This window comes from Homo sapiens, chromosome 3 (assembly GCF_000001405.40).
Source record: "Homo sapiens chromosome 3, GRCh38.p14 Primary Assembly".
Taxonomy (NCBI): domain Eukaryota; kingdom Metazoa; phylum Chordata; class Mammalia; order Primates; family Hominidae; genus Homo; species Homo sapiens.
The window spans coordinates 17426464-17447257 of record NC_000003.12 but is presented as its reverse complement, the minus strand read 5'-3'; the positions used below and the strand labels follow the sequence as shown (position 1 = coordinate 17447257).

Genomic DNA, 20794 nt, shown 5'->3' with positions numbered 1-20794 from the left:
CTTTATTCTCGTTTTCTGAGCAATACTCCATAAATGGTTATCTTCATTTTTTATTATTTTACATTTTACTCTGGTGACTGTCACTCATTCTACTTGAATGAATATCTTTTGAGATCCTAATGGTCTTTCTGTAATTAAATCTATTTTAAGATTTTATCTGGCCTTGACAGTAACATCCTAAATTCTTGACTTCCTCCTTCTCAAAATCCTCTTTTAGCTTCAGTGATACAATTTTCTCTTGGTATTCCTTGTTTCTTATGCTTTTCAATGTGGTCTTTTTTTTTTTTGAGTTGGAGTCTTGCTCTGTCGCCCAGGCTGGAGTGCAGTGGTGTGATCTCGGCTCACTGCAAGCTCCGCCTCCCAGGTTCACGCCATTCTCCTGCCTCAACCTCCCAAGTAGGTGGGACTACAGGCGCCTGCCACCAACCTGGCTAATTTTTTTGTATTTTCACTAGAGACGGGGTTTCACCGTGTTCGCCAGGATGGTCTCAATCTCCTGACGTCGTGATCCACCCGCCTCGGCCTCCCAAAGTGCTGGGATTACAGGCGCGAGCCACCGCGCCCGGCCCAATGTGGTCTTTAAAATTTGGGCTTTTACTTGTCTCTGTTTTTATCCTAAGCTTTAGTTATCGATACCTTAATACTTTCAAGTGTTTCTAGTTCAGGTAGCTCCAGATTCATATATCTGACATTCCAGATTACATTTCCTCTTAGATTTTAAAAGTTCTGACTCAGCTTGTCCAAAATTGAATTTGTGATATTTTCTTCCAAACTCCTCTCCTATTTTTTTTTTTAATCTCAGTGAATGGTGTCAATATGTATGTAGTTGTGTAAGCCAGAAATTTAGGAATCATTATTGACATCTCTTAGCCACCAATGCAATAGATTTGTCACCTTAATATCTCAAGAATCTGTTTTACTTTTTTTGATCTAAACCATTGCAACCTTAAAGCTACTATAATTCTTCTCATCAATAGGATTTGTTTCTTATCACATTCAGAGACCTAAAGGGAGTTTGACCAAATTTGGAGTTATATTTGGGGTAAATTACTTAAAATAAAAAGTATGTCTCTTCAGGAGGAATGGGGTTGGGAGAAATAACCTAAAGAAAGGATATCTAAGAGAGATGGGCAGTCATCCTTCTGCCGTACATATTTTTATGCCACAGAGGAGAACATCAGCCATTTCATTTTGAACTCTGTATTATTTTAAGCAATGACTAAGACCCAAAATACAATGACTTTAAAAAGGCAGAAGTGCATTACTCTTAACCTAACAGCCCTGACTCCAGGATCCTTCCCTGTTGTTCTTCTTCCATTTCCTAGAGCTGTGCTACTCAGTCTAGTCCATGGGTGAGAACTGTTCGTAACTAGTTCTCAACTGTATAAGTATAGTATTACACTCTTATCTGTGGCGAATATGGTCCAAGACTTGAAGTGGATCCCTGAAATCACAGATAGTACTGAACCCTATATATACTGTGTTTTTTGCTATACGTACATACCTATGATAAAGTTTAATTTATAAATTTGACATATTAAGAGATTAACAACCATGCTACTAATAAAATAGAACAGTTATAACAATATCCTTTTATCACATAATAAAAGTTAAGTGAATGTAGTCTCTTTCAAAAATATCTTATTGTACTATTCTCACCTATTGTTGGACCATGGTTCACTGCAGGTAACTGAAACTACGGAAAGCAAGACCACAAATAAGAAAAGACTGCTGTATGGAAACTGAAGGTTAATATATAGAACAGAGTAATTTTTCCATCTTTTGAATGTAATAATAAAATATTGAGGCTTATATATTATATATCTTTTTATTTCACTTTTATACGAATATTTTTATTATTTCACAAAAGTATTGTCTATGGCAGACGGGACTTTTTTTTTTATGGTTCTTCACTAAAGACCGTCCTCTTTAAGAAAAAAAGCCTTTAAAAATGTATAAACCTTTTTTGTCCACAGGTCATATGAAAAGAGGCCATTATTGGCCTGATTTAGCCATTGTAATTGACTACTGTTTTAATCCATGGAAAAGAAAGCTCATATAAGACATCATTAAAACAGAATATGCCCTTAGCACTTGAACATACAGGGCTATATCTAGGCATAAACTAGATGTGAAATATGGTCTGTAGCTGGGTTGCCATATGTCCACTGATAAGGGGAAAACAGATTCAGGGCAAGTGTCAGTATTATGAAATACCTAAGTCAAGGGTTACAAAATGCAGATGCTCACATTTCAAAAACTGACTTTCAATGAAGTTATTTCTCACATGGACAGTTCTGTATAGTATGCTGTATGGTTAGTAGCTGTAGGAATACATTTACTTACTGATGATGGGTAATTCTTTTTCTCTGTAATGCTATTGTGTAACACCCTTTGTAGCCATTGAAAGTTATATTAGGATAGTATTAAACTATATATTGTATTCAAATTATAGAATATATATAATGCATATTGTTAAAAATTTGAGCAAATGTTAAAATACTAACAATGGAAGAATTATGTGTGGCTTTATATTTTCTGAATATAGATCTGCATTTGAAAATTTTGTACAATAATTATGTATTAGTTTTGTAATTTTTATCAATTTCTATTTGTTTTGTGGTTTTGTTAATACTTTTTGATCAACCAATTTATTTCTCTAAAGGCAGCCATGGAAGGATTTGTGCACAAAGGTATTTATCATAGTGTTATTTAGAACAGCTAAATCTTTTAAATAAAAGAAATATCTGCCAATTGAAGAATGGTTAAATAAATTATAGGACATACATTGATTATTATGTAGCCAGTTAAAATTTCTTTGTAAAAAGTTTTTTAAATAACATGGGAGAAATGCTCATATAATACAATGAAATAATATAATATAAAATTGTTTATGTAGTATGTAAATTCAATTTTATAGAAAATAGTCAAAGGAAAAGTATCCTCATGTAATTGCATCACATTATGGGTGGGTTTTGCTGTCTACTTTTCTTTTTCTTTCTTTTTTCTTTTTTGTTGGTAGTTTTTGTTTTAATAATTTCTCTCAAGTGTACAAGTTTTTAATGTAGTTTGCATTGCTTTTACATCTGGAAAAATAAAGTATATCCAAGAAATGGAATATAAGTTAATATTAGAGTGGGTTAAATTAGTTTTTACATTCTGTTATAATCTCATTTTTATTTAGGTAATTTTTACATTTATTCTTTAAGCTGTAACTGTATTTCAATGTAGCTCATGAGAAGATAATTAGATTACATTGAAGACTTATGTGATTTTGATAATGTTTTTGAAAATACTTTGAATTTTGAAGATTTACTGGGAGGCTGTATTGTCCCCATGGATCCTTGACACTCCGTTCATTTCATTTTTTAAAATGTTGTTTTTCTTTGTTCTTCAGATTGTATATAACTTTTGTTGATCTTTCAGTTCACTGTCCCATTCCGCTGTCTTATCCATTTCATTACAGAGCCCATCTATGAATTTTTAAAATTTCAGGTATTGTTCTTTACAGTTCTAAGATTTCCATTTGGTTCTTTTTAATAGTTTCTATTATTTTACAGTGAACTTCTATTTTTCTGTTCAAGATTATACACCATTACCTCATAGAGAAAAGTTTGTTGACTTGAAGAAGCTGAGGCACAAAATAAAACTTTAGAGTTTACGTAAGCCAAAGTGAGGACAGCTGCCTAAGAAACATTTCCAAGTTGCCTTGGGAAGTACTCCACTCAGCCTTTGTTACAAGCAGGATTTTAAAGGAAAAAGGAAACCAAAAGTGGGCTGATAAAGTTGTTTGATAGGAATTCTCATTGGTTGATAGAAATAACATTGATTAGTGATTGGCTATACATTGTTGAACTATAGGGTATGAGTTATGGTATCCAGCACGTGGTATTGTTCGGTTAATTTTATGGCTACTTGGTGTCAATCTAGAGCCCACATAGTACATGGCTTCAAGAGATAATTACTTAGCTCGGAGTGCAAGTGAGACCTGACCGCTGTCACATTTCAGTGCCTCTCTGGCCTGATAATTTAAAGAGGCTCATATTCCACAGATAAAAAATAAAATAAACTTCTCAAGTTATGATAGCTTCTTTAAGTCTTTGTTGATTCTAATGCCTGGAGCATCTCTGGGTTGGTATCTGTTTATTGTATTACATTTTGATAATTGATCATATTTTTCTGGTTCTTGATATAGCAAGTAATTTTAGACTGTGTCTTGAACATTTTGAATAATTTGTTATGAAACTCTGGATCCTGTTAAATCCTCTGGAGAATTTTTCTCCTTCCTCTCTTCCCTTTCCTCCCCTTCCCTTCCTTCTATTTCCCTCTTCCTCTTCCTCCCCTCCCACTTCCCTTGTCCCTCGCTTCTTCTCCCTCTCCTCTCCCCTTCTCTTCTCCCTTCCTTCCCATTACCAACTCTCCTGCTGTTCCAGTTAAGTTCAGACCACAGTTTCTGACTCACTTTCTGTGGGTGGAGGTTCCAGTGTCAGCAGTTTCAAAGTCCTTTCCATGCTTTTTTAGTCTGCTCCTTGCGTGTGACCCTCAGAGGTTAGTCTGGGACTTTGGTGGTAGTTGATATTAATATTATGGTTCCGTTCTCAAAGCTTTTGTTGTGCTCCTTTGGGTATATTTTGAGCATGTACAGGTGAGGAGTGAGCTCAGGATTTGTGTCTTTTCATACACAGAATTAGAGAATCCCCATGTCCAGGCCTTCTTCTACAGGGTTACCCCACACACTGTGTCTGGTTTTATCATAACATTTGCCTCCTGTGCTATTGCACAGTTCCACATGAATGGATGCACTTTTTTGGCAAAGTGATGAGAGAAATAGCAAAGAAAAAAATAATTGGGGTTCTCCACTCACTGTCTGCACAACAGGGAACCTTTTCTGCAGTTTTCTTATCAAAAGGGTAGCCTTATTAAGAGTTTTAGGTGCCCACACCACAGCTACCACCAACCTACTGTGGCAGCATAGTTCTACAACTAGACCTGGTCTTGTCACATGGTTAGAAATGAAAAAAGAAGGGAAAAAGAAAGAGATTTCTTTCCACACTCTCGAGATCACAGGACCTCCTTTTTCTAGTTTCTGAAAAATGGGATTCTTTTGGGGTTTTTGCTCCCGATGCCTGCTGTTTAATTCTCAGATTCATCCTGTTGTGGTAAATAAAGGAGAAGAAAGAACAGAAAACTCAACACCACTGATTTTCTTCTCCAATATGCCTCCTGTTATTTACTTTTCAGAGCACTCAAGTGGTTTTTGTTTTTGTTTTTTTGTATTTTGCCCAGAGTACTAAATTGTTGTCAGTGGGAGAAATATGCTGCAGTGGTACTCCATTATGGGTGGAACTGGAAATCCTACTAGTAACCTATGATGTACTTTTCTTCTGGTTTGTTTTATTGTGATCTGTTTTAAGTCTTATTGAGAAATCAAGTTAATTACTAATCTAGGTAGAAAGCAATTCAGTAAAATAAATAAATAATTGTTTACTATGCATGAAATAAAATACTTTTACCACCATTGAAATGATTTCAAAGCATACCTGTTTAGAATATCTTAGAAAGAATTAATTTTGTGATTTTATAACTTTCCAGTAGCTTCTCATTGTAGTTTCAAAATCCAGACTTCCTCCCATTAAAACCATAAGTTCTATGGTCACTTCTTATCCTGTATTCTTATCCTCATCTCATAGTACTCTGCCCCCAGTCCTCCAGCCACCTTGGCCTTATTTTCTTATCTAAAAGCTGGCTTCTGTAGTAGTGCCTTTGTGCTTTGCATATTGTACCCTTTGCCATAGATATTCAAATGGCTGACTTTTTTCTTGTCGTTAGAATCCAAAATCAGATATTACCTTCATCTTCAAAGAGCAACCTCCCACAGTCACTGTCACATTATTCTGTTTTGTATTTTATTTACAGCTCTTATAATTATCCGAACTTACAAATTTATTCTCTTGTGTTTTCTCCGCCTGCTCCTCCACTTCATTCTGTAATACTATAGTTCACTATAATACTTCTAGTTCCTAGGACTGGAATTATGTGTCTGGCACATAGTAGACAGTAGATGTTCATTGAATGAATGAATGATTCAAATGAGATTTAAATAGCAACAGTCCTGACAGAATGGTAAATTTCCACACTTAAGATGGTCTGTTAATGGTATCATCAATGTTGATAACTATTCTATCATTTATTTTTGCCTTAGGGTACCACACAGCTTCTTATCCAGTCTCCCTTCATCCACTCTCCTTTTTCCTACACCCACCCACAAATCACTTCACCCTGAACTTCAAGTGACCACTTAAAAACGAATCTTTTTGGTGGGACACGGTGGCTCATGACCATAATCCCAGCACTTTGGGAGGCAAAGGCGGGTGGATTACTTGAGGCTAGGAGTCCGAGACCCGCTTGGCCAACATGGAGAAATCCTGTTTCTGCTAAAAATATAAAAATTTGCTGGGCATGGTGGCTCACACCTGTAATCCCAGCTACTTGGGAGGTTGAGGTAGAAGAATTGCTTGAACCCAGGAGGCAGAGGTTGCAGTAAGCCGAGAACATGCCACTGCACTCCAGCCTGGGTGACAGAGTGAGACTCTGCCTCAAAAAACAAAACAAAACAAAACAAAAAATGTATATGTTTTTAAGAGACAAAGTCTTACTTTGTCACCCAAGCTGCAGTGCAGTGGCTCCATCTCAGCTCACTGCAGCCTAGATCTCATGGGCTCAAGTGATCCTCCTGCCCCAGTCCCCTAGGTAGCTGGGACCACAGGTGCACGCCACCATGCCCGGCTAATTTTTTGTAAATATGAGTTTTGCCATGTAGCCCAGGCTGGTCTCAAACTCCTGAGCTCAAGTGATCTGCCCACCTCTGCCTCCCAAAGTGCTAGAATTACAGGTGTGAGCCACTGTGCCTGGCCTATAGCCCTTCTTTTACTGAGTTTTTTTTTGGGGGATAAAGACCAAAATCCTTAACGTGAACTCCACAGAATCTTGGCATATGCTGATCTCTAGTGGGATGCTCTTTTTGCCCTGTTTGGTCTGTGACTTATCCACCCCCTCATTCATATGTTATTATAGTAATCTTGTATAACATTTTTCAAAGTTGTCATTGTGCATTGCTTTGGCTGTCCCTCTGCTCTGTTGGACATTCATCAAACTGAAGTATGTCAGGGATGGGTTTTGAGCTTTGGCTTACCGCTATAACGTCAGCACTTGAATACTGTAAGTGTTCAACATGTGACTGCTGAAAGAACTGAAAAATGCTGGAAGAACTATTACATCTAAATTTATGACAAAGTTTGAATTACAAAATGCATTTATTAATTAGGGCCCATTTACAGTTTGTCTAGGTAATGAATAATTTGAATAAAATGCTCAATAAGTGATAACTACTTTGAATGATATTTTTAATAATCTACAAGGATTTTGTACAATATTGTACATTTCCTAGCATATTTAAAGGAATAGCTATTATATTGACATATTTCTAGTTATCAGATTTTAAAAATCACCTTTTTAGTAAATAAAGATGCATTATCATAAAATGATACATATCAATTCGTGGATTTAGAATTCTTTTCTTTGAAAAAGGAAAGAACAGTACAGTAATTCCTTAATGTCATAGCAAAAATTTGTAAAATAAGACATTTTTGTAGGAATCAAAATATTTTTGGAATTTTTTTATTTGAAGGAATTGGTAAACATTAAAAAAAATTGATATTTGAAGATTTTATATTTAAATACTAATCAGTAACGTTTTATTGTGATTTGTGTTAGTAAATCTTTTATAAGACTAAAGATATTTTTGAGAATATATGCCTTCACTTCTTTATTTAGGCTTTGGAATGTCTTAGTAAAAATGCCATTTATGCTTTTTAAGTAGATGTTTGTTATATGAACTTGTTCAGATAGCTGTTATTTAAAAGACACAGATAGGATCAGCTACCCTGGTTCACAATGATAATTTATATCCTGCATAGAGTCCCAGTGAATTTTTCAGGCTCTAAAATGGGACATATCTAATATTAACATTGAAAGTTATGTACTTCGGGTTAACAGATGCCTTTACATTTTATGAAGTCTTGTCCACTAGATGTTCAACCTTGAGGGATCTAGCACTGATTGTAATCACCAGTTGAAATGAGTAGTGCCCCAAGGATTCTTTTCTCTAGAAAAAGATGTTTCCTTTTTATTGCACTGAAGAAAAAGAATAATTTTGATAAATATAAATATTCTATAGGTATTATTTGAAAGACAGTGAAATAGGACCTTACTGCCACATATACTCTATTTTATATAGTAAATAATATGTATTTTATTTTTGTTATATATATTCAGGCACTTAATAGATAATTTAATGTTAGGGTTAGAATTCCCTAAATATCAATTAGATTATTTTTGAAAATACAATGATTTTTTGTTTTGTTGTTTTGAGGAGGGTATGTTTTATTTAAGCTTTTGTTGGACTGTAGTAAGGCTAAAAATCTCAGCCAAAGTTAAACTAAATTGTTATCTGTATTTTGTTAAGATAAAATTGGAGTGAAGGACAAATTATATAATAATCATGTATTAGTCTGTGCTCACACTGCTATGAAGAAATACCCAAGACTGGTAATTTGTAAAGGAAAGAGGTTTAATTGACTCTGTTCTGCATGGCTTGGGAGGCCTCAGGAAACTTACAATTATGGTGGAAGGCAAAGCAAACATGTCCTTCTTCACATGGCAGCAGGAGAGAAAGTGAGTGCCCAGCGAAGGGGGAATCCCCTTATAAAACCATCAGATCTCGTGAGAACTAACTCACTATCATGAGAAGAGGATGGGGAAAACCACCCCCATGATTCAGTAATCTCCACCTGGTCCTTCCCATTGATATGTGGGGATTATGGGAACTACAATTCAAGATGAGACTTGAGTAGGGAAACAGCCAAACCATATCAAATCTTTTATGGCCTTAATACTATTTCTCCAAGTTTAAAGAAATATTTTCAAATACTCTTTATCAACATATTTACTTCTTAGCAAGCTCTTCTGAAAGTCTGCTTTGTTGTTTATGTGCTAAGTGGAAATGTGTTTTGTAATTGTCTAAAATGCAGCATTAGCAATGCAACTCTTTCTCGAAAAGGTGCTTTTGAGATCCAGGTGGTCTGTGGTAGAACCTCAGAGGCCATTAGTAGCATTGTGCTTAACATCTGGAGCCTGCACCCTCCCCTAATAAAGAGCACATAGTACTGGTCATATTAGGATAATGTGTGAAGTTGGCATAGCTCAATGCAGTCTATTACTATTGCTGGAAAATGAGATCATAGTTTGTGCTTTATTGTTAGTCATTAGTAAATGAGGGCATATAAGATACCCAATAATTTCCTCAATTTGGGCAAATTAAATTGCCTTCTATAATAAGATAGTCACTTTTAGTACAGTAGAAGCTAATAATTTTAGAATAGGAAAGGCCTGTGTATCATCAGAATAATCTAGGGAACCCTTTAAAGTGGAGTTCTAGGCCTCACCCACAAATATCTCAATCTCTTTTCTCTCTCTGCCTTCACTTCCCCCGCTACTTTCTTTCCCCCTTCCTTCCTCTGCCCCCTCTCTCCCAAATCTCTCCCTCCCTCCCTTCCTCTCTCTCTCTCTCTCTCTCTACCTCTGTCTCTGTCTCTCTCCCCTCTTTCCATCCCACCACACACACACACACACACACATGCATACTACCTATATACCTGTTCCCAGGTGATTTGGATTATCAGATATGATCTGGTACCACCCCCTCTTGTAATAGATGTGGGTGGTAGAACCCAGAAATATTAATTTTGCCTTAGAATTCTGTTTTCTTGATTGATTCTGGCCTACTCTGTTATATTTCTACGACATCAGGTAGCTTTATATCCATAGAGTACCTGGAAAAATGACAATCATACTAAATAGAAATACTTGGATTTGTGTGTTATTATGTGTTATCTTAGTCTGTTTTGTGTTATCATAGCAGAATATCACTGACTGGGTAATTCATAAATAAAATAATTTTATTTCTCACAGTTATGGAGCCTGGGAAATCTAATCTCAAGGTGCCAGCATCTGGTGAGGGCCTTCTTGTTGCATTATCCCATGATGGAAAGCAGAAGGGCAAGAGGGCAAGAGAGCACATGTGAGAGACAGCAAGAGATTGAATTCACAGTATTAAGCTATTTTATAACCAACATTAATTAATTCATAAGTGTAGAGCTCTCCTGACCTAAACACCTCCCACTAGGCCCCATCTCCCAACACTGTTGCATTGTGTATTAAGTTTCCAACACATGCTTTTTGATGGACACATTCAACCATAGCACATGTTAACTTAAATTGGGTAGTTCTACTTGTGATTATCTTTGAAATTAGTCCCTGTTTCCCATTTAGTTGCAGAATCATTAATTAATTCCTCTTATAGCTTGTTTTATCTGTTATTGCTATATGTGTAATACTATGTACTATCATACATGTTAGTTTTAGTTTATTGATAGACTGACCATGGTTTTAGTTTTTTATCTTTTATCAGTTTCAAGAAACATTTATATATCTTAAGTTCATGAAATTATATGGCTTTATATTTCAAGGCTGTAATTTTATTTAAATTTACTATATCCTGCATTCTCTTTAAATATTTTATGTTTGATAAGATCGTTGTCAGGAAGGATATTATAAGGGCTGCACAAGACTTATACACCATCCTCATATAATTCATAAAGTTTTTGATAAAGTTTTTCAGAAATAATGCTCCTTTAATTGATAAGAAGAAAAAAGCCACAATATTCAATTATTTAAGTTATGAGTAAGTGTATTTCTCCTTGTGTAGAACTAGTAGCCTTTTACTTTTATACCTCTACTAGAACCAGTATTATAAATACATTGATTAAAATGTTAATAAAAATGATAGCTAACTTTTTTTGAGGACTTACATTGTACTATAAGCACTTTACATACATTTATCTCATTTAATCTTTCTTACCACGTTTTGCAGTAGAACCTATTGTTTTCTCCATTTTACAGATGAGGAATCTGAGATATTGAAAGGTTAAGTGAGATAACAAACAAATGGTAGAGTCTTAGCTTTTAATTATGATACTTTAATGCCTCTAGTTCCTGATTTCATTAAACTGAATCTGTCAGTTTAATTTTACCAATTCAGTAAGGCTTACTCCTGGAAATACTTCAAACAGAGATCATGGACAGTGTATTTGTTCTCTTAAAAGCTAAAAGCACTTTGTATTTATATAGACCCCCACCCTAAAAATTCGAAACCTCTTCCTGTCTTTGCAGACTGGCTCTGTGCCACAGTAGTTCTTTAACATTTAGCCACGCTTGCAGTCCTCATATAGTGATCAGCTTTTGGTGGAAGCTTAGGGTCTTCTCAGTTACTTTCTGATCATGCATATTGCTCTAGGCACACACACGGCCTTCTACATCTCTCCAATACACATGGATGCTTTTGAATGTCCTAATTTCCCAAAGAAATCCTCACCAGCTTTTGCTCCCAGGCCTTAGGTGGTCTATCTTATGTTTCAATTGCAGTCTTTTGCCGCAGGCATCTGTGAGTGATATGATTTTGCTGTGGCCCCACCCAAATCTCACCTTGAATTGTAGTTCCCATAATCCCCATGTGTCATGGGAGGGACCTGGTGGGAGGTAATTGAATAATGGGGGCAGTTACCCCCATGCTGCTGTTCTTGTGATATTATGTGAGTTCTCACAAAATCTGATGGTTTCTAAGGGGCTTTTCCCCCTTTTAATTGGCATTTCTCCATCCTGCTGCCATATGAAGAAGGACATATTTGCTTCCCCTTCCATCATGATTGTAAGTTTCCTGAGGCCTCCCCAGCCATGCGAAACTGTGAGTTGATTAAACCTCTTTCCTTTATAAATTACCCAGTCTTGGGTAGTCCTTTATAGCAATGTGATAAGGTACTAATACAGTAAATTGGTACCACAGAGATTGGCGTGCTGCTATAAGGATACCCAAAAATGTGGAAGAGACTTTGGAACTGGTTGATAGCCACAGGTTGGAATAGTTTTGAGGGCTCAGAAGAAGACAGGAAAATGTGGGAAAGTTTGGAATTTCCTAGAGACTTGGGGGGCTCAGAAGGTAGGAAGATGTGGGAAAGTTTGGAACTTGAGATTTGTTGAATGGCTTTGACCAAAATGCTGATAGTGATATGGACAATAAAGTCCAGGCTGAGGTTGTCTCAGATGGAAATGAGGAACTTTTTGGGAACTGGAATAAAGTTAACTCTTGCTATGCAAACAGACTGGTGGCATTTTGCCCCTGCCCTAGTGATCGGTGAAACTTTGCACTTGAGAGAGATGATGTAGGGTATCTGGTGGAAGAAATTTCTAAGCAACAAAGCATTCAAAAGGAAGCAGAGTATAAAAGTTTGGAAAATTTGCAGGATGACAATGTAGTAGGGGGAAAAAAATTCTGGGGAGAATTACAAGCCCACTGCAGAAATTTGCAGAAGTAACGGGGAGTGGAATGTTAATTACCAAGACAATGGGGAAAATGTCTCCAGGGCATGTCAGAGACCTTCACCACAGCCCCTTCCATCACAGGTCGGGTGGCCTAGGAGGGAAAAGTGGTTTTGTGGGCTGGGCCCAGGGCCCCCCTGTTCTATGCAACCTCAGGACATTATAAAGGAATTATAAAGACCTCAGGAATTATAAAGACCTCAGGTATTATAAAGACATGAGATTTGGGAGGGGGTACAGTGATATGGTTGGGCCGTGCCCTGGATCCCAGCTGCTTCAGCTCCAGCTGTAACTAAAAGAATCCAGTGTACAGCTTGGGCTATTGCTTCAGAAGGTGCAAGCCCCAAGCCTTGGCAGCTTTCACATTGTGTTGGGCCTGTGGGTGTGCAGAAGACAAGAATTGATGTTTGGGAATCTCTGCCTAGATTTCAGATGATATATGGAAACACCTGGATGTCCAGGCAGAAGTCTGCTGTAGGGACAGGGCCTTCATGGAGAACCTCTGCTATGGCAGTGTGGAAGGGAAATGTGGGGTTGGAGTCCCCATACAAAGTCCCCACTGGGGCATTGCCTAGTGGAGCTGTGAGAAGAGGGCCACTGTTCTCCAGACCCTAGAATGGTAAATTCAGTGACAGCTTGCATTGTGCACCTGGTAAAGCTGCAGACACTCAACGCCAGCTGTGAAGGCAGCCGGGAGGGGAGCTGTACCCTGCAAAGCCACAGGGGCAGAGCTACCCAAGGCCGTGGGAGCCTACCTCTTGTATCAGTGTGACATAGATGTGAGACATGGAGTCAAAGTAGATCATTTTGGTACTTTACAGTTTAATTACTGCCTCTTGGATTTTGGACTTGCATGGGGCTTGTACCCATTCGTTTTGGTCAGTTTCTCTCATTTGGAGCGGGTGTATTGCTCAATGCCTGTACCCCCATTGTATCTATGAAGTAGCTAACTTGCTTTTGATTTTGCAGGCTCATAGAGGAAGGGACTTGCCTTTCTCAGATAAGACCTTGGACTTGGACTTTTGGGTTAATGCTGGAATGAGTTAAGACTTTGCAGGACTGTTGGGAAGGCATGACTGTGTTTTGAATTATAAAGACATGAGATTTGGGAGGGGGTACAGTGATATGGTTGGGCCGTGCCCCCACCCAAATCTCATATTGAAATATAGGTTTATAATCCCCAGGTGTTACAGGAGAGACCCAGTTGGAGGTAATTGAATCATGAGGGCGGTTACCCCCATGCTGCTCTTGTGATAGTGAGTTCTCATGAGATCTGATGGTTTTATAAGGGGCTTTTCCCTGTTTTGCCCTGTACTTCTCCTTCATGCCATCATATGAGGTAGGGCATGTTTGTTTCCCCTTTTGCTATGATTGTAAGTTTCCTGAGGCCTTCCCAGGCATGTGGAACTGCGAGTCAATTAAACTTCTTTCCTTTTTAAATTACCCAGTCTCAGGCAGTGCTTTATAGCAGCGTGAGAATGGACTGTATATCGGGTGTTTAGTTTGGCTTGTTGTATGTTCTATTCATGTCCGCTGCTTCTTCTAAAGTAGCCGGAACAGAGAAAGGCACCTTGTGTCATCTTTCAGGTGGCCCTTACACAGGGTAGAACATATATGCACAACAATTTGCTAACATGGTACCCTCTTCCCTTCGAGAACTAAGTACCAGACTCCCACCCTGGGAAAGTAGCTACCCTCTTCCAGACTGCTACAGTGCCAGGGATGGGGTGGGTGGGGCAAGGGCAAGTGTAAACACCACGAAATTTTTAAGTTGCCTTTTTTCTTGATTCAGTGTTCATTTTGCTTTGGAACATTTTTGACTGTTTATTACAGCTTTTACAAAGTCCTAAAAGTTACTTTTTGTTTTTCAGTGTTTCTGTGGGAGGACATGTACTACTTGGAGTTTCAAACTCTGCCATCTTGCTGATGTCATGCTGCTTTCTGTCTTTTGTTTTTAAGAATTCTATGAAAGGTTTAATAGGAACCTTTGATAACAAAGCATCCTTTTCTCAAATTAAAATGTCCACTTGAAAATGTTTTTTATTTAAGACTTCTTATGAATTTCTATTTTACGTTTGAGTTTTCATTATCTACAATACAGATTTTTTAAGACATTATTTAGAGAACTAAATATGACTATTAAATCACTGGAATGTAAGTACATTAACAATAATAAAGAAAATTGAAAATTATAAAATTGACACATTTTTTTCTGTGTTGACTTCAGCACTGGCTCTTAGATCTAATGAGTGGTCCTGGATTTTTAGCATAAGTAATTAGCTTGGGGTGGCTAATGGTTAGCCTGATTTCACAAATGATGTGGCTACTTTATGGATAATGCTGAGTCATTATGCTTTGCCTTCACTGTGTGTCAACACATGAATATACTTTATTCATAGATTTTTAAAAATCATTTTTTTAAAGGATTTTAAAGTTAACTAAAACATTTCATTGGTATATACTAATTCCTTTAAAAGACACAAAGGCTTTCAGGTCTTTACACTAAACTCATAGCTTTGTTTTCATCTTAGTTTGAACCAAGTCATTTTTCCCCATCTTACTATTAAATACCCCACCCAGACTGTGTATGTTGACAGTTCTCTAATGATTCAAAGATAAAACCTTTTCTTTATTATGTAATACTTTTCAGAATTCATACCTAGTGTGATGTGATAGTCTAAAACTTGATGTTTTCACATGTAAACTGAAGACACATTTGAGTAGGCGTGATTATTTATAGTGTTATTCTGGCTGTTTTTAACTTAACCTAGTTTAAAAATCTCTGGTTCTCTCTTCATGAACTAGATGTTTGTGTATAAAAAAATACTACAGAAATCTATTGTAAACCTCCCTTTAGAAAGATTTCAACAGTGCACAGATGGAACCAAAAATGCCCTTTGTTAAACATGACTTCAGTTAAAGCTAAAAGGGAGTCTGAAATTCCATTCATTCTGTTTTGAAATTTAAGTCACAGTTATCCTTTCTGGCTTAGTAAGTTAGATACACATGTTAGAAATTACTATTAAGCAATATTATGCATTTTCTTATAATTTAAGCCAATGTAACTATCAGCATATTTTTGCAAATCAGCAATTTATTTTCATTGAATATTATGAACCCATTAGGAAAGTTGCATACCAATTAATGAGAAATGAATGTTATATAAATTTCAAACTTACGGTCACAAGTAATTGATGAATTGTTCTTATAGATATATGTTGTACAATGTTATAAATATATAGTTACACATATGTTATTTATTTTATATAATTCATGCATGTATTCAAAATATACTCAATAAAGACATCTAGATTCTTTTACTGGTTACTTTACATTAGATATTGAAATACCTTTAAAGTTACAACTGTATTCTAAAAATTGCAGATTAGTTAAATTATTTTCAGGTAAGAGGAAGCCTATTATCTTAAACCACATTTTAGATATTTGTGCTGTTTGACCATTTAATAGTCTTTGTGTAAGATTACATTAATACTGTATTTGTATGTGTGTGTATGATGCATCTTTGTTACAGTTACGGCTACCTGACAACTTAGTTCAAGGATCAGAATAGCAAGTAAAAACATCATAGTAAACTCTCTTGCACCCTCTGTTGTTATTTTTGGGAAACACTACATATACGTTCCCATGATTGTATTGTCATTTCATTTACTTTAATCCCTTATAAAATTAATACTTATTTTATTATACTTACCTCCAAATTAGATTCAGTAGTAAAGTAACACTTGTTTATTTCCCAAACTGGCGGAAGTTGTTTTCTGGTGTTACAGATATGTTTTTTATCATATTATAGCTTAAATGAAAAATGAGCCTTTCTGTTTGTCTTTGATTTCTCCTAGTTACTGGTATTAAGCCTCTCCAAATGTTTCACACCAAGGAAAATCTCTACAGGATGTAGCACATTGTATACACAATTTTACAGAATTACAGATTCTGTCTGTTCTTTTGTAAACCTTTCCATAGTCAGACAGTTTCCTTCCAAAATAAGAGTCTGGGATCGTCCATACTAAAATTAAGAGTTTATAACTGTAAGGAACAGATGTTTTCATAAACATTTGCCATAATTAATTTCAACTAGAGGATTGAGGGAACAAAGCGTTTTTCCCGCTTCAAAACTTTATTGCCTTTTCCCCATATAGCCAACTCTGAAATCTTTTCTCTAATATTGTTAGTGAAACAATTGTACTCCTTATTTGCTATGTTTTTGAGAAAGAAAAACTGCTTTTTTTTTCCCTATTACCATTTTTTTGCACCTTGAAAGTTACATTTAATGTGATAGTTTCATTTGGAAACAGTTTTAAATTAAATAAAACCTTTATAATATGATAAAACCTGGTTGTTTATAAAGCCAAATTCTCTTAATTATTTGAAGGATTTTATATTTGATCTGATAAATATCACCTTAAAGGAAGAACTATTCTATTGGTGTTATTTTTCATGTTTAATCATAATCTTTAGTTTTAACGAGAAAGAAGCTCATATTTTAAATGTATAATATAGTACTTATTCTATGCTGATTATGGAACGTTTCACAGGAAATGTCTGCAAGCTGTTAAATAACATGTGTTGTAGGAAATTTTCATTTAGCAAGACAGAGACTAATTTTCCTTACATCTTTTTAGTTTATTATAATATTATTAATTTTTAAAAGAAAATGAAGGGTGCTGTATGAGTAATACCATACCCATGTTTTCAAAGAATTAGCAACTTATACCTAGCTAGGTTAATTTTAAACATTTATATGTTTTTGGATTATTTTCTTCTATAAATTGTCACCATTTTTAAGTGTTGTAATCCATTTTAGGATTTTTTGTTTTTTCAAAAAACAAAATAAACTGGAACAATATTTTGAAAAAAGAGTAGAGTTGAAAGTTTAATAAGCAGGCTCAGTCCACTTCTCCTGAACACTGGCACAGCTGCACATATCTCACCAAATTCTCAAAAAAGAACCAGTGTTCTTTACTATCTGTCAGCTATAAAATGTGTAAAGAAAGATAGGTAGCTGTCATTAAAATTACATTTCAGCATTCAGTCACCATTTAATGAGTAGCATAATTATATAAGTATAGTACCTTAGATACTATACTCAATAATTAAAAATAATCTCATCTTTAAAGTGAAAGCTCTGTAATTACTGTTTGACTTATCCACGACCACTGTGATGATTTCCTATTGCACCTTCGGTTGTTCAAAGTATATTAAAAGTATAAAATTGGATTAAATCATTGTTATATTAAGCTGTAAATATTATAAAAATCAAATACAACCTGATGTTTGAAAGTTACATTATATAAATTAGGAGTATAAAATATAATCAGATTCTAAACTTTTAATTTGTTTTGAAGAACAAATGACATTTTTAATAGTGGTATACTATGGTTTCATAAAAGCTGTACTTTGAAGTATATATTTAAAAAAATTGAACTATGAAATTTCAATCAATAAGAATATATAACAACGGGGCATTGGTAAGCATTTTTTCCAACTTTAGTACATTTACTTTTATTCTGTAGTCTTTAAATTGATATGTATAATTTGTTCTAAATGTGATTTTATGAATATGATAGATTTTTGAGTAAAAATTTTTTTTCTAAATGTTTGATATTATTATAGAAGACAAATACCTTTTGATGTTGTTCCTTTTTCATGTTTTAAATTGCCGAACTTTTGACAGTTGAAACCTAAAGTTAACAGATAAAGTTTTGTAAAGAATATTAAGTAAGGCATATTAAAATCTCATTAATTAATCACTACCTCTCAAGTTGGCTTTTTATTTTACCTCTGTTTACTAAATTCCTAGAGAGCATCAAACTAGGACCTGGAAAATCATCCAGGTCGGCTCTCTGCCTGTTCTCTTTTGACAGTGCCACTGATCAGGATGGGTGACTTAGTCATTAACAGAAAATTTCCTTTCTTTATAAACACTGGTTTATAATTTTAGTTTTGTCTGTAATTCATAAGAAGAAAATGTTTGTACTGTGCCTCATTTGTTCCTGATAGCAATTACTTTGGTACTGTTACTGTCCAGTCTAGGATTGGCATTGGTTTATATTTTGGTATCAAAATGAGTTTTCTACCTAAAAAGCTTTGAGTACAAAAGATAATTTGGGGAAGGGGGAGAGGATGTATGCTTTTTGGCTAATATATTGCGTAGAGCTTTCACACAGTTTTTCAACTGAAATATTCAGTTTATCTCCATTATTTCAGTGTCGTAATTTTTTTCTCCAGGAGATTCAAATAAAAATGGAAGAAGAACAAGTTCTACTTTAGACTCTGAAGGGACTTTTAATTCCTATAGGTAGGTGATGAATACATATATATATATATATATATATACACACACACACACACATATAATATTATAAGATAATGTATAAGATATATAATTATATAGGGTTTTGATCTAGAATAGTAAGGAACCACTACTTGTGTTTTAACAAGGTGACCAATGTAAACAATATTGTGTTATGTTATTTTCTGTAATTAATAAGATACAGAAAAATATAATATTCTAAATTTTTGAGTAAATGCACTTACTGCAGTATCTGTTGTTAGCCAATAGTAGGGTAATTGGAATGAATGCACATGTAGTATTCAGCTTCATTATAATCTATTTTTGTTTTTCCAGTATATCTGTTACGGTACTAAAGCTTCCTTTTAATTTTCCTGCTAAAATATAGTACCGCTCATGAGCGCCTAAGAGAGCTTAAAATGTAGTTCATGGTTGAATTAAGTGCTCTTTGCTAATATCCTGTTTTAAGTTCTTCAGCAAACAGGGCTATTACTTCTCAATTAGTAATTTTTAAAAGGATATACTAATTAAGAAAATATGTATTTTACCTAGTACTTTCTTAATATTCTCCTCATAACTTGAATTTTGCTTCAGTAAATATTTATGAAATTTGTACCTTGTATCTGGGAAACTCAGGAGTAAGAAAGATTAAAGTATTTTCAGTAATACTTGAAAATCTGTATACAGAACCAAAGTGGTGTAAGAAATTGGTTATTTTCTTTAGGAAAAAAGTGCAAATTCAATAATAATACATTTTAACATTATAGATGGCAATGCAGATTCTTGAAGAAACAATTTAATTGGTCAACATTGTCCTTGTGGTTAATTACTTCTGATACTTGTGTAACAACACTATAAAATATATGCAAGAACCACTGTGTACTTGAGAACTAATTTTAATATTAAACTGTCTTCTTTTCTATAATAAATATGGAATTTATGCTTAGTTTATATTTTTATTTGTATACATATTATATATTCTTAATTGGAACTGTGTCATTTATTTCTTCAGATTTCAGGCGGGCTTTTAACATCTAGAGTTGGGCCTTTTATACAGGAGGCACTTGACAAAAATGTAGTAAATGAAACAGTTTTTACAATTTGTTTATGAATTTCAGAAATGAGATGGTAATTGAAACACTTGATATCTTTATTTTATACCATTTGGGGTCTGTATACATAATCAGTTGTTCAAGTGTCACAGATACTACAAAAGGCTTATGTTCCATGGTGTTCTAGAAGGGTGTTATCACAGCAGTAAAGCTCATATGTTGTTGTTAAATTTTCACTATATCCATCCTACCTTATAAATATTGGAATTGTCCAAATGCTTTCTGAGTCCTGAAGTATAATATAAAGCTTGTATTTGGCATACTAAACTATAGGTAGAATCCCCTATTCGAGTGTGTCATAGCTGATTGTAACAATAACCAAAAAAGTAAATATGAAAGATAGTTAAATAAATATTAGGAGTTGACATGTAACAGAGGAATCTTAATATGGTAATATATGAAATCTATGATAGTAATTTATTAGGTATAAACACGATTAAACATAAACAAGACAAAAAAATGTATTTCAAAGGAAGGAAAATCCCATTATATGTATAAATTTTGTTGGTGAATTGTATTTTACAATTACATTTGTATTTTAGCTAATTATAGTAAATAGTGGGTATAATATAAAGTTAAAAGAAATGTTTTCATGTGAAGGTATAGTATTATCTTGTGGGTTTTTTTGTTCTTGAATAAAGTATCTTAGTATTAAATGATAATTGTATTTTGAAAAGTAACTCCTAGTGTAGCTTTGCACAATAAATACTTACGTTGTTAACTAAATATTTTTAATCAATGCCTGTCATTGTTTAAAAATGGCAGGCATTGATTAAAAATCAATGTTGTAATGTTAGAATATTAATTTATTGTTGTAATTAAAAAGAGAAGATAAAAAGCTCAAGTAATACAGTATGTAAAAATGTACTTTTAATAGTTG

At 34.7% G+C, this 20794-nt stretch overlaps 1 protein-coding gene across 65 annotated transcripts in view; it reads left to right on the top strand.

Moving 5' to 3' along the window:
- Positions 1-20794, top strand: part of TBC1D5 (TBC1 domain family member 5) — a 585470-nt gene that overhangs the window by 295374 nt on the left and 269302 nt on the right. For 56 of the 65 annotated variants that reach the window (XM_047449296.1, XM_011534283.4, XM_047449314.1 and 53 more), the window contains one exon: positions 18739-18808. The exons of the other annotated variants lie outside the window; for them this stretch is intronic. In XM_047449296.1, coding sequence (XP_047305252.1) covers positions 18739-18808 — 70 coding nt within the window. The remainder of the gene's footprint in view (positions 1-18738; positions 18809-20794) is intronic. 65 annotated transcript variants of the gene reach the window in all.